Source organism: Homo sapiens, chromosome 10 (genome assembly GCF_000001405.40).
Source record: "Homo sapiens chromosome 10, GRCh38.p14 Primary Assembly".
Lineage (NCBI taxonomy): Eukaryota > Metazoa > Chordata > Mammalia > Primates > Hominidae > Homo > Homo sapiens.
Window position 1 is genome coordinate 91,606,165 of NC_000010.11, and position 13,314 is coordinate 91,619,478.

Sequence of the window (13,314 nt, forward strand, 5' to 3'; positions counted from 1 at the left end):
TTCCTTGGCAATACTTGTTGTCTCAGTGATTGGCTTTCTGTGTGGTGAGCAGCAGGACCTGGACCAAACCTCTGGTGTTTCAGCAACAAAATAACTTAACATTCTCTTAATAATTTAAAGTTATCACAGTGAAACTCAGTGATTATACCACACAGAAATGCCCTTGTGGATTATTCAGATTTGGGGACAATCAATAGTCCCAGGATGCTATGCTTCTTGAGCTTTTTAAAGCTGCTTCATCTTGCCCCATCTATGTGATCATTACCTATTCCATTTCACTGTTGCCTCTGTGCCTGCCATCACCATAACCAAACACACATACACACATACAGAGAGAGAGAGACTCCTGACACGTATAAACGCTTTCTAACCCTCCACTGTTCTGTGGTCTAGAAAACAAGAAGTTAATTTGATTAGAATTGTGTGCAGAATAGTAGTAAATAGGATCTGAGTTAGGAAGTCCTTAAGGAAGTTGTCTCTCTTTTTAAAATTTTTTTCATTTTTAATTTTTGTGGGTACATAGTAGATGTATATATTTATGGGGGACATGAGATGTCTTGATACAGGCATGCAATATGAGATAAGCACATCAAGTGGAGAAATAGGAACACTTTTACACTGTTGGTGGGACTGTAAACTAGTTCAACCATTGTGGAAGTCAGTGTGGCAATTCCTCAGGGATCTAGAACTAGAAATACCATTTGACCCAGCCATCCCATTACTGGGTATATACCCAAAGGACTATAAATCATGCTGCTATAAAGACACATGCACACCTATGTTTATTGCACCACTATTCACTATAGCAAAGACTTGGAACCAACCCAAATGTCCAACAATAATAGACTGGATTAAGAAAATGTGGCACATATACACCATGGAATACAATGCAGCCATAAAAAATGATGAGTTCATGTCCTTTGTAGGGACATGGATGAAATTGGAAATCATCATTCTCAGTAAACTATTGCAAGAACAAAAAACCAAACACCGCATATTCTCACTCATAGGTGGGAATTGAACAATGAGAACACATGGACACAGGAAGGGGAACATCACACTCTGGGGACTGTTGTGGGGTGGGGAGAGGGGGGAGGGATAGCATTAGGAGATATACCTAATGCTAAATGACGAGTTAATGGGTGCAGCACACCAGCATGGCACATGTATACATATGTAACTAACCTGCACATTGTGCACATGTACCCTAAAACTTAAAGTATAATAATAATAAAATAAAATAAAAAAGAGATAAGCACATCAAGATGGCAATAATAAATGCAAATTCTTCATCACCATTTTGACTGCTCAGAAATCATCACTGTTTCACAGGCTCTTTAAAAAAAGGTCAGTAAATACACGACTCCTGTCTAATGAAAAGAAAGTTAGCAATTGAAATTCTGAGAATACAATCTCCCACAAAAAATCAAAACCCACTCACTGAGCCAAACAAAAAGCATGCTCACTGACCTCCAATTCTTGGCCATCACTGCCAACTACAAAAGAAATAATTAGAAACAAACAGCCACAGACGCTATACTCTTGAGTTGAAGAGGAAACATCAAGAGCGCATTGCATCCAGTACTGTCATACAAGTCATTCACATAAGCAGAAAGCCACTTTCCAGTCCCTAGATAACTATGGCCAAGCTAGCCCAGCCAAGAACCTCTTCTCATTCTGTACTAGAAGGCCACAAAAGCAGCTCACTCAGAGGGGCTGGGCTGCCTTGCTCCTCTTAATCCAGTCAGGCTCACTGGCCATCCTCAGTCCAGGTTTTTATCTCTTCTCACTTGAGCTACTACAATGACTCCCCCAACTGACCTCTCTGTCTCCCTGAGTCATCCGGCCACTTTTTAATCCTCTGCTCACATTGCATTGCATCCAGAGAAAGACAAATTTCAGTCTGTCTCCCTTTTACCTAAATTTTAAAAAGACTACTTTCCTCAACCTCCATCATTTGGCTACATTCATCCTCATCACAGCCCCAGACTGTGGCCAACCACATTTCTCTCTGCTTTCCCACCACACCATAGTCATTGCCACCTCCTGCCTTTTTTCGTGCTCTGTGGCTTCCAGAAACACCGTCTTTTCCTCTGTGTCTGTCCAAACTCCACCCATCCTTCATATTGCCACTTAAGAAGCTGTTCCCAGACACCCTATCCCTTAAGGGTGCTCCTTTCATTCAACTCCTTACAGCTCCCAATATTTTAAGCACTCCTTTTATTTTCCACTGTCCTGGGCATAGGCCCTGGCCCTGGAGTAGAGCAGGAATCTGACCCAAAACTTCTTTGGGGTCTCCTACTTAATATCTATCCCTCTAAATCCTAATATGTTCTATGAACACAACTGCCCTTGTACATGATGACCCTAAGAACAGCAAAGTTTATATTTGGAGAAACTGCAGACCTCTCCCAGAATGACACATTGCCCTTCAAATCTCACGGAGAAAGAGCGTGTGGGCCAAGTGCCCAGATATCTAGCAAAGAAAGGCAAGTCAGCCTCCTCCCTTCCCCCAACCCGCCACTCTTGCCAGACAGCATTTAAAATGCACTTCAGCGCGTTCCTCTTTTATTTGGAAAGGAAACAAGTCTTGACATTCTGTTTCTCCCATTTCATTAAGGACAGAGGTCATCCCAGGAAGGGGAAGGGTAGTTTCCAAAGAGAACTTGTGAGGGAGTGGAGGTGGGGCAGGGGACGCTCTCGTCCCTTCTCGTTAGCCCACTTTACCCTTTGAAGAGAACAAGCCCAGCTTTCACAGTGAATTATTTGCAGGGTGGCTTCTGCCAGGACTGGGCTCTCGCTAGCTGAGGCAATACCCGGAAGGATTACATGATAGCTCAAGGACAGACAAGGTGTCCAGAAGGAACTGGCCGGAGGAGGTGACACTGAGACAGCCTGGAGATAAGGGGGTAGAAAAGGGAGAAGGGAGGAGGTAGGGGGTGTGTGTTAAATAGAAACTCAGAAAAAGCTAAACCTGTACATTTCTCTCTCTCTCTCTCTCTCTCTGTCTCTCTGTCTCTCTCTCTCTCTCTCTCTCTCACACACACACACACACACACACACACACACACACAGGCATGCACAGAAACACATTCTTTGCTTTCCCTCCCCATCTGTAACTCCCCAAGGCATTTCTATAAATAAACGATAGGCCCCTGAGCCTGCAATAGGACCATTATTAACTCTTGCAGTGTTCTGGCTATAAGTGTGTGAACACTTTTCCTCACTTCATGGTTTGCAAAGCCTTTTCCCATATGTAATCTCCACCTGACTCCTACATCACACACTTGAAAAGTCCTTTAGCTTCTCCTCATCATTCCCATATATAGAATTGGGCACCCCACACCCACACTCTCAAAGTTCTTAGCCTTAAAGCTGTAAGTTTCAAGTTGGCTACTCCAAAAATTTCTTATGGTTTGAGCCACATTATCTATTTTCAAAATTATCAAATATTGTACATATTTATGGGGTACAATGTGATATTTCGATATATGTATACATTGTAGAATGATCAAATCAAGCTAATTTAACAGGCTCATCAACTCACATACTTACGATTTCTTTGTGATGAGAACATTTAAAATCTATCTTTTAGCAATTTTGAAATATGCAATATATTATTATTAACTATAGCCACCATGCTGTGCAACAGATCCCCAGAACTGACTCCTCCTGTCTAAAAATGAAACTTCGTACACCTTGACCAACATTTCCCCATTCCCTATCTGCCCCCACCTATCAGCCTCTTATAACTACCATTCTACTCTCTACTTCCATGAGTTTGAAGTTTTTAGATTTCACATTCTAAGTGAGATCACATAGGATCTATCTTTCTGTGCCTGGCTTATTTCACTTAGCATGATGTCCTCCAGGTTAATTCATGTTGTCATCACAAATAACAGAATTTTCTTCTATCTTAAGGATGAATAGTATTTTGTTGTGTATATATACTAAAATTTTTATCCATTCATCTATTGATGGTCACTTAGGTTATTTCCATATCTTGGGTATTGTGAATAATGCTGCAATTCACATGGGAGTGCAGATATCTCTTCAACGTATTGATTTCAATTCATTTGGATGTACACCCAGAAGTGGGATTGCTGGATCATATGGTAGTTCTATTTTCCATTTTTTCGGGAACCATCATACCGCTTTCCAAAATGGCTGTACTAATTTACATTCTCACCAACAGTGTACAAGAGTTCCCTTTAATCCAGAGGCCTTTACATGCATAATGTCACTTAAATTCCACAAGAATCCTGAAGGGTAAACATGATCAAGGCATGTCAGAGGAGGAAAGTGAAGCTCTAATGTTACGTTATGTGACAGGAGTGTAGAGTATGGGGTGCAGTGTCTTGAACCCAGGTCTGTATAGCTATAGTGCACGTGTTCTTCACTCCTGCCCTGAGGTCCTCTTCCTAAAAGTTCTTTATCATCTAAGATTCCAGAGCATCTACCGGGGGGTTTAGTCAGACATCTGGAATGCCAGGATTCATAACCAATTAAGCTTCCCCATGCCTATAGTGGTGTCTTTTACTTTTCACTTCAACATTTATTTTGCCAGACTCCATACTAGGTAAAGTGGGTAAAGCAGTCAATAAGACACACATGTCCTGCTCTCATAGAACTTAAAGTCTGATTAAAAGAGACGATTCATAAATGCACACACAATTAAATAAATGGACCAATTTGCCAAGAAGCTTCAAATCCACAGAGAATAAACACAATGTAGTTTTCATTTTTTTCCACTATCCTTGACTTGCTATGTCAAATCATCTCCTCCTCTTTCCCCCCCTTTAAAATATCTCACAGTTTCCATTACTTCCTGTCACTTTCAGCTATTCAGTTTAGTCAAGACCAGTTTAAACCTCCATCTCAGATCTGATCCCAAGCCCTCTGCCCTCCCAGAGTAGCCAAGACTTGCTGCCACTGGGGCTTGGCATAGATCCAGGTGGGTCTGCTCTGTCTCTGTTCTCACCTCTCTACCCACCTCATCAGGATGTAGTTCCCTCCATGGCAGGGGTGGGAAGGGGAAGGGGTGTTTGAGCTCTTCCTCCCCAGGCCCCAGCCCTTGCCACTTGTAGCCCACCTCACAAACTCTTGTTGCTTGGAGACCCTCATCCAGAGGGTGGCTATCTTCGGGGGGCAGAGGGGGGCACAGCAAGTCAGCCCAGGCCCAGTACCTTCCTCAGCATTCTTTTGACGCGTGGGAAATCTAACCATCCTGCTGAGCCAAGCTGTGGGAAGGAGCCTGTGCCATGGCCACACCGTATTTCAGCCCTGCCTTCTCTCTCCAATGTTTCTCTTCTCCTGGGACAGGGCTGACAGCAGGACTGCTGCCCAGGCAGATGTCTAGCCAGTAAACATGACATTAGTGATCCCCTTAGCACCCCCAACTCTCCTTTGGCTTGGAGGAGGGAAAACCCCTGTTCCTGGTCCTGCTCCTGGGAATATGCTCACAAGGAACTCTGTACCTCCTCCAGGCTGAAAACTCTGAGCCCCTTATTCCAGCCCAGACTTCTCCTTACAGACCCAGGACAGGGGCAGGGTTGGTGGTATTAAGGCCAGTTCTGCCACTGCATTGCTGAAGGCTGGTTAAGAGCTCTCTTTAGAAAACCAGAGTGCTTAGCACTTTCTGGGTCACCTTTGGGCAATGGCAGCCATTCCAAGACAACAGAACAAAATCTCACTCACACCCTATTACATAGAATTCTAATTGTGAGATGTGTGAGAAAGGAAAAGAACAGGGTGCTATGAGAGGAAATGCCCATGCTCAGGATCACACTTCTGGATCTCAAATCCCAGCTCTGCCCCTTATTAACTGTGTGATCTTGGGCAGGTTACTTCGCCTCTCTGTGCCTCAGCTTCCTTATTTGTAAAATGGTGATGATAACAGTACATACCTCATAGGACGAAATGAGAAAATGTAAACAAAACTCTTAACATAGCGCCTGTCACATTAATAAATGCTCAGTAAACGTAAGTTCCCTGAGGGATCCAGGCACCTCACAGGCACCCAACAACACTTGATGAAATAATGAATGAGGTAGTGAGACCCCATCTCTACAAAAAATTAAAAATTAGCCAAATATGGTGGCACATGCCTATAGTTCCAACTACCTGGGAAGCTGAGGTAGGAGGATCACTTGAGCCCAAGAGGTTGAGGCTGCAGTGAGCTGTGATCATGCTACTGTACTCCAGCCTGGGCAACAGAGCAAGACTCTGCCAAAAAAAAAAAAAAAAAAAAAAACACAGAATTACACTTACACATAGATTTTCTTTCTTTCTTTTTTTTTTTTTTTTTTTTGAGTTGGAGTCTCGCTCTGTCGCCCAGGCTGGAATGCAGTGGCGCGATCTCGGCTCACTGCAAGCTCCGCTTCCCGTGTTCACGCCATTCTCCTGCCTCAGCCTCCTGAGTAGCTGCGACTACAGGCGCCTGCCACAGCGCCCGGCTAATTTTTTTTGTATTTTTTTTAGTAGAGACGGGGTTTCACCGTGTTAGCCAGGATGGTCTCAATCTCCTGACCTCGTGATCCCCCTGCCTCGGCCTCCCAAAGTGCTGGGATTACAGGCGTGAGCCACCGTGCCCGGCCTACACATAGATTTTCAATCCATATTAGAAAGGCTAACAAGGGCCATATTATGTGTAGTTTGAGAAAAGAGAGGGCAGGAATATATCTTACTTCTGTAGATTCAGTGCCTACCACGTAGTAGAAGCTCAGTCAATCTTTTTTTTTTTTTTTGCGTTGAACTGAAAATAATTATGTTATGCTGAAATCCCTCCCATGGAACCCAGGGGATATTGGTGAAATTAAACCACATAAAACTTGAGTAGTGTTAATGTTTTGTTCATAACTTTCATGAATTTTGCATATATTTCATGGCATTTACATTAAATTCATAAATAAAATCTTAAAAAATAATAATGAATGAGGGAGAATGGCTGGGAATACCTATTTTAGATGGGGTAGTCAGAGAAGACCACTCTGAGAAGGTGACACTTAAGCTTTGACATAGATGATAAGACAGAAGTCAGCTGAAGAGCAAAGGGATCATATTGCCCTGGAATCAGATTACAGAATAGACCTAGAAAATTCGCCTTTGACATTTTAATACCATGTATAAATACAGGGTTATAAGATATTATTCCCTCTGGACCAAAGATTGTCATAACACCCAGGAGCCAAAGTCCTCCAGATACCTCTGTCTCCATCACAGCAGCTCTAACTGTGCAGTTATTTGCCACCAAGGCAGTTCCTTTGGGGGTTTCTTTCCATTTTTTTAAAGTTGTTAGTCAGGACTTTGGTAGCAATGAGCTCAAGATCCTGGCTAGATGGTAAGTCAGATTTCACATGATCTAAACAGTCAGAGCCAGAGAGTGTCAGCTACCACAAGGAAGAGAGTATATCATAAATCCAGAGTAGACATATGAACAAGCAGTTTATAGACTGGGCTTACCCAAAGATTAATTTTGAAGGTCATATCATCCAACAGAGTACATAACTGGACACTTGAGTCTGTGCATGTCTCTGGTTACAGCTGGTTTTAGTTACTTTGAGTCTGGTCAGCATTATAAATGGTCAGCATTATAAATGGCTGGGATAAAGTATCTGCCGGAGGAATTGGCATAAGCATGTGACTCACCAGCCCCTCTGACTCATGGGACACACAGTTGTCCTGAGCTATTAATCCATTGACAGAGCATGAGTGAGACAGAGGGGCTGTGAGAAGCTGTACTGACAAATAGCCGGAAGCACCCACTGCCCATCGTTATGACTGTATCCTTTTGTGATATGGAGCATCGATATCTTTTGTTGCTGTGATAGGAAGTTTTTGGCATAGGTGTGGCCTGATCATTGTTTTCAAGCACACTAAACCTAGATGGTGATATAATGGAATTGTTGACACTGTTCCCAAGACAGCAGGATGTCTCCACCCTGGTTTGATGGTGTTCATTTAGATAAATAAGGGCTGGGATACTGTGCTAGGAGTCAGAAAGGCAGTGTGGTGTAGGTGCCTATTGTTGTAGGTGGTGGTATCAGCAAGGGGAGTTCATTACATGGTGCCAATTAGAATGTCCAAGGAGGTTGGTTTCCATGTTAAATAGGATTGACCTTTCTGTCACCCAGAAGCCCAAGTGTAAGCACTAAGAATCTAGAGAATAGCTGATCCTTCACAGAAACACCTAAGGATTTGGCTTTATTTCCGTGTCTGCAACAGCAGTGAGAGCCCAATGGAATGTTAGACTCAACTTGATGCAATCTGGCATCTCAAAATCGTAAAGAAGGTTTGAAACAACACATAAAAATGAACTACTGTCATGAATTCAAACCACATCCTAAAGGCTGCCAGAACAATGCTTTCAAATCCCAGATGTTCCAAAACAATTTATTATTCTTAAAGGTTATACAGGGAAGCAATCACCCCCACCCCACCCCCAAAAAAATAGGAAAAGAAAATAAAAGTCCCACATAGGATACAAATGAAAACATTTCTACTGTGCTTGTAGGTACTAATAAAACCTGTTTATAATTTTCTATTATAAAATATTATTTACGGCCGAGCTCATGCTTGTAATCCCAGCACTCTGGGAGGCCGAGGCAGGTGGATCAGGAGGTCAGGAGATAGATTCCATCCTGCCCAACATGGTGAAGTCCCATCTCTACTAAAAATACAAAAATTAGCTGGGCGTGCTGGTGCGCACCTGTAGTCCCAGCTACTCAGGAGGCTGAGCCAGGAGAATCGCTTGAACCTGGGAGGCGGAGGTTGCAGTGAGCCAAGATCACGCCACTGCACTCCAGCCTGGGTGGCAGAGCCAGACTCCATCTCAAATATATATTATATAATATATACAATATATATAATATATATTGTATATATTATATAATATATACAATATATATTATGTATATTGTATATATTATATACAATATATAATATATATTATATAATATTATATACAATATATAATATATTATATATAAATATATAATAAAAATATATAATATATAAAATAATATATAATGTATATAAAAGAAATGTTTGCTTAAGAAAGAAATTATTAGCAATAATTTGGATCCTCCTTTGTAACCCTCCCCAATTTCCTCCATCCCTCTACCCAGAAGTAATCACTAGGCCAAGTTCCACTTTTTATTTCCTTGCTTTACTTTATTATTTTCATATATATGAAATATATATTCATTAAATATATATGTATATTCAGTTTTGTGTGGTTTTGAACTCTATGTAAATGAATCATATTGTATATATTTTCTGCAACCTGCCTTTCTTGCTCAATTTTATGTTTGTGAGGTTCATTCATGTTGGTAGGAGTAGCTGCCATTCATCTTCACTTATATTTTGTATTCCATTGAAATGATAGAATTTATTTATCCAGTCTACTCAGTGGATATTTGTGTTGATTTCCATTTTTGCTTTTACAAATAACACTGTTATAAACATACTTATATATCTCTTGATACAGATGTACAAGAGTTTCTTTGTAGGATATATACATAGAAGTAGAATTGCTCTGCATCTTCAACTTTACAGCGTCAGAGTGTTTCCCAAATGGTGGTGGTGGCACCAGTTTATACTCTCACCAGCAGAGTATGAGACCCATTGTTCACAAACTCACCAACACTTGCTTTTTACAGATGTTTAAATTTTTGCCATTCAGGTAGATGTGAGATAATATCTCCTTGTAGTTTTAATTAGCATTTCCCTAGTTATAAATGAGGTCGAGTATCTTTTCATATGTTTATTGGCCATTCATGTTTTCTCTTCTGTGAAGAGTACTCAAGTCTTTTTGCTTGTTTTTCTATAGGTTTTTTTGCTTATTAAGTATTGGACTTCTTTATATATTCTGGATACTACTCCTTTGTCAATTACAGCTGCTCCCAGTTTGTTGCTAATCTTTTCACTTTCTTTATGTCGTCTTTTGATTTTTTAAAAAAACAAAATTTTAAATTTTAATGTGGTTAAACTAATCAGTTGTTTCCCTTTGGTTTGTGTTTTTTCTTTTATTTTAGAAAGCCTTTCCAACTCCAAGGTCCTAAAAGACTACTCATCTCCAAAAGGTTTTAAATAACTTTCCCTTTCATCTTTAATTATTTAATCCCTTGGAACTGATTCCTGTGCAAGACATGTGGTGGGAGCCTGGTTTCATGTTTTTCCACGTGGATAACCATTTGCTCCAGAGCCAAGTACTGTGAAGTTCATTTTCTTTCCACTCAGCATCATCTCCAGCTCTGTCATAAGCCAGGTCTTCAGATATGGATAGGTTTCTTTCTAGGCTCTATATCTTGTTTCACTGGAAATTTGTCCACCCCTGAGCTAACTGATATACCCCACTGAATTAGTTACATAATTTCATAAGAAATCTTGTTACACTAAGATTTCTTATGAAATCTTATTTGTTACACTAAGTCCCCCATTATGTTCTTTTCCTTTAGAAGGCTTTTGACTCTTCTTGACTCTTTCTGCTTCTACATGAATTTTAGAAGCAATTTGTCAAGTTCTTAAAAACACACACACAACCAACCCATTGGTATCTTGGTTTTAATTGGCATTGCATAAAGTAGTAGATAAATATCTTTGTAATATTACCTTCCTAACCATAAATATGGAATAGTTTTTCATTTGTAGAGCTCTTTTAAAACATTTAAATACATTTTTATGATTTTTTTCCATAAAGATCTTGTGAAACTTTTGTTATATTTATTCTAAAGAAATTATATTATAATTATTGCTGCTATTGTAAAGTAGCCTATATATAATGTATATATAAAAGGACTATTTTGCAATAGCAGCAATAATATAAATATATATAAACAGAATATATAATATATTATATATATAGAATGTATATATACACAGAAATATACCATATATATTGTTTATTGCCTATATAGAGATATTCAGTTCACTTCTGGGTGTTGATCTTTGTATTAGTCATCTACTGCTAAGCCATAAATCATCCCAAACTTCGTAGCTGAAAACCACAAATATTTATTATTTCATAGTTTGTTTAAGTCAGAAATTCAAGAGCAGCTTAGCTGGGAGTTTTTGGATCAGGGTCTCATATAAAGTTGTAATCAAGATGTCAGGCAGGGTGCAGTCATCTGAAAGCTTGACTTGGGCTGGAGGACCTATTGCCCAGCTCACTCACACAGTGGTTGTCAAGGGGCCTCAGTTCCTCATTACGCGGGGCTCCCCGATAAAGCTGCTCATTACAATGCAGCTGCTTCCCCCAGCACAAGTGAATCTAAGTAAGAGAGAGAGACGGGACAACTAAGATGAAACACATAGTGTCTTTCATAACCTGACACGGAAGTGATACACCAACCATTTCTGATGTGTTCTATTGGCCACACAGAACAACGTTGGTGCAATATGGGAGGAGACCACACAAGGAACATGTGAATTTCAGAAGGTGGGAAGCACTGGGGGCCGTATTGTGGCTAAAACTACCATAATCTTACATCCAACGACCTTGATAAATTCTCAGATTTATTCTAATAATTTAGTAATAGATTCTTTTGGGTTTTCTACAACGGGCAAACATATTATCTGTAAATAATGCCAATATTATTACTCTCCCTCCAATCTCACTTTTATTTCTTTCTTGCTTTACTCCACTGGCTCAGATTTTTGACATAATATTTTAAAGAGATAGTAATAGAAGACCTTATCTTAAAAAGAGTTTCAACATTTACCATAGTGTGATGTTTGCAGCAGGTTTTAATTGTTTTTCCTTTTGGTAGATATCCTTTTTTCAAACTAAGAAAGTTTCTCCTTATTTGTTGCTTGAATTTTTTTCATTAATAGTAGGAAATTTTATAAACATTTTTGGTATTTATTGAGTTGACTGTATGTTTTTATTCCTTTAATCTATTTATGTGGCAAATTAACATAATTGAAGTTCTAATGTTAAACCAATCTTACATTCTTGGAATAAGCCCAACTTGATCATAATACATTTTAAAATACATTATTGGATTTATTTTAATAATTTATTGGGTAAAATTTTTTTGCATCTACCTATTTGCAAGATTGGCTTATAATTTTCCTTTCCTTTACTGTTTTTGTAAGATTTCAGTATCAAGGTTATGCTAACTCATAAATAAGTTGGACAATGTTCCCCCCTTTTTTATATACTCTGAAATATTTTGTGTAAGAGCAAAGATATTTGGCCTTTGAATGTTTGACACAAAACATCTATAAAAACATCTGGGCCAGGTATTTTATTTGCGGGTAGATTTTAAACTACAAGTCTTAAACTACTAATCTTATATGTTTATAGGACTAGTCAAGTTTTCCATTTCTTACTGAGATTATTTTCATGCAATATACTTTTTAAGGAATGTTTCCATTTTATCTAAGTTTTCAGATATATTAAAGTTATTCGCAATTCCTTATTAATTTTTTCATTTCTGCATTACCTATAGTTATGACATTTAACAAAAAATTCCCATTCTAGTGTTCTCACTTTTATCTTCATTCATTTTCTCAAAGATTTGTCCTTTTATTGCTTTGTGTGTGAGCTTGTATTTCATGAAAATTCCTTGAGGCTTAGGCTGAAGGCACTCTTGCAGAGAGCATGTGTGCTTGCTTTTACCGAGCACCTGGGTACTGCAACCAAGGACCATATTTATTTATTTATTTACTTATTCATTTATTTATTGAGACAGAGTCTCACTCTATGTCCCACACTGGAGTGCAGTGGTGCAATCTCAGCTCATGGCAACCTCTGCCTCCCAGGTTCAAGCTATTCTCCTGCCTCCCGAGTAGCTGGGATTACAGATGTGCACCACCATGCCTGGAAAATTTTTGTATTTTTTAGTAGAGATGGCATTTCACCATATTGATCAAGTGATCAACATGCCTCAGCCTCCCAAAGTGCTGGAATTACAGGTGTAAGCCATGGCGCCCAGCCACCAAGAACAATTTTTTAATAAATTCTGGGCTTGAGGTTTTTCAGAGCACAAAGAATATGAATTCAGGTTGTAAATCCATGAGAGGGCCAGATTGTGGTTATGAATTTTAGGAAGAATTGATTGGGGCTTTTTTCCATCTATCAGGTTGGTGCAAAAGTAATTGCAGTTCAAATCATTATAACTAGGCTCAAACATATCTTTATTAATCAAAATAGGACCCATTACAATCAACATATTTTGCCAATGAGAAATGTTTGTTTATTCCCGTAGCATAAAAAATCCATACTTCGGTATTCAACAAACTCTTGAAAAGCATTTTCTGCATCCTGCTGGTTGTGGGAGCGTTTTCCCTGCAAAAAGTTGTCGAGTGCTT

General features: G+C 39.4%; 1 long non-coding RNA gene across 1 annotated transcript in view; it reads right to left on the bottom strand.

Moving 5' to 3' along the window:
- HECTD2-AS1 (HECTD2 antisense RNA 1) overlaps nucleotides 1–5,296 on the bottom strand; it is a 304,499-nt gene extending 299,203 nt beyond the window's left edge. Inside the window, exon 1 of the long non-coding RNA NR_024467.1 lies at nucleotides 5,187–5,296. This is a non-coding gene — a long non-coding RNA (HECTD2 antisense RNA 1). The remainder of the gene's footprint in view (nucleotides 1–5,186) is intronic.
- Nucleotides 5,297–13,314: the final 8,018 nt, after the last annotated feature.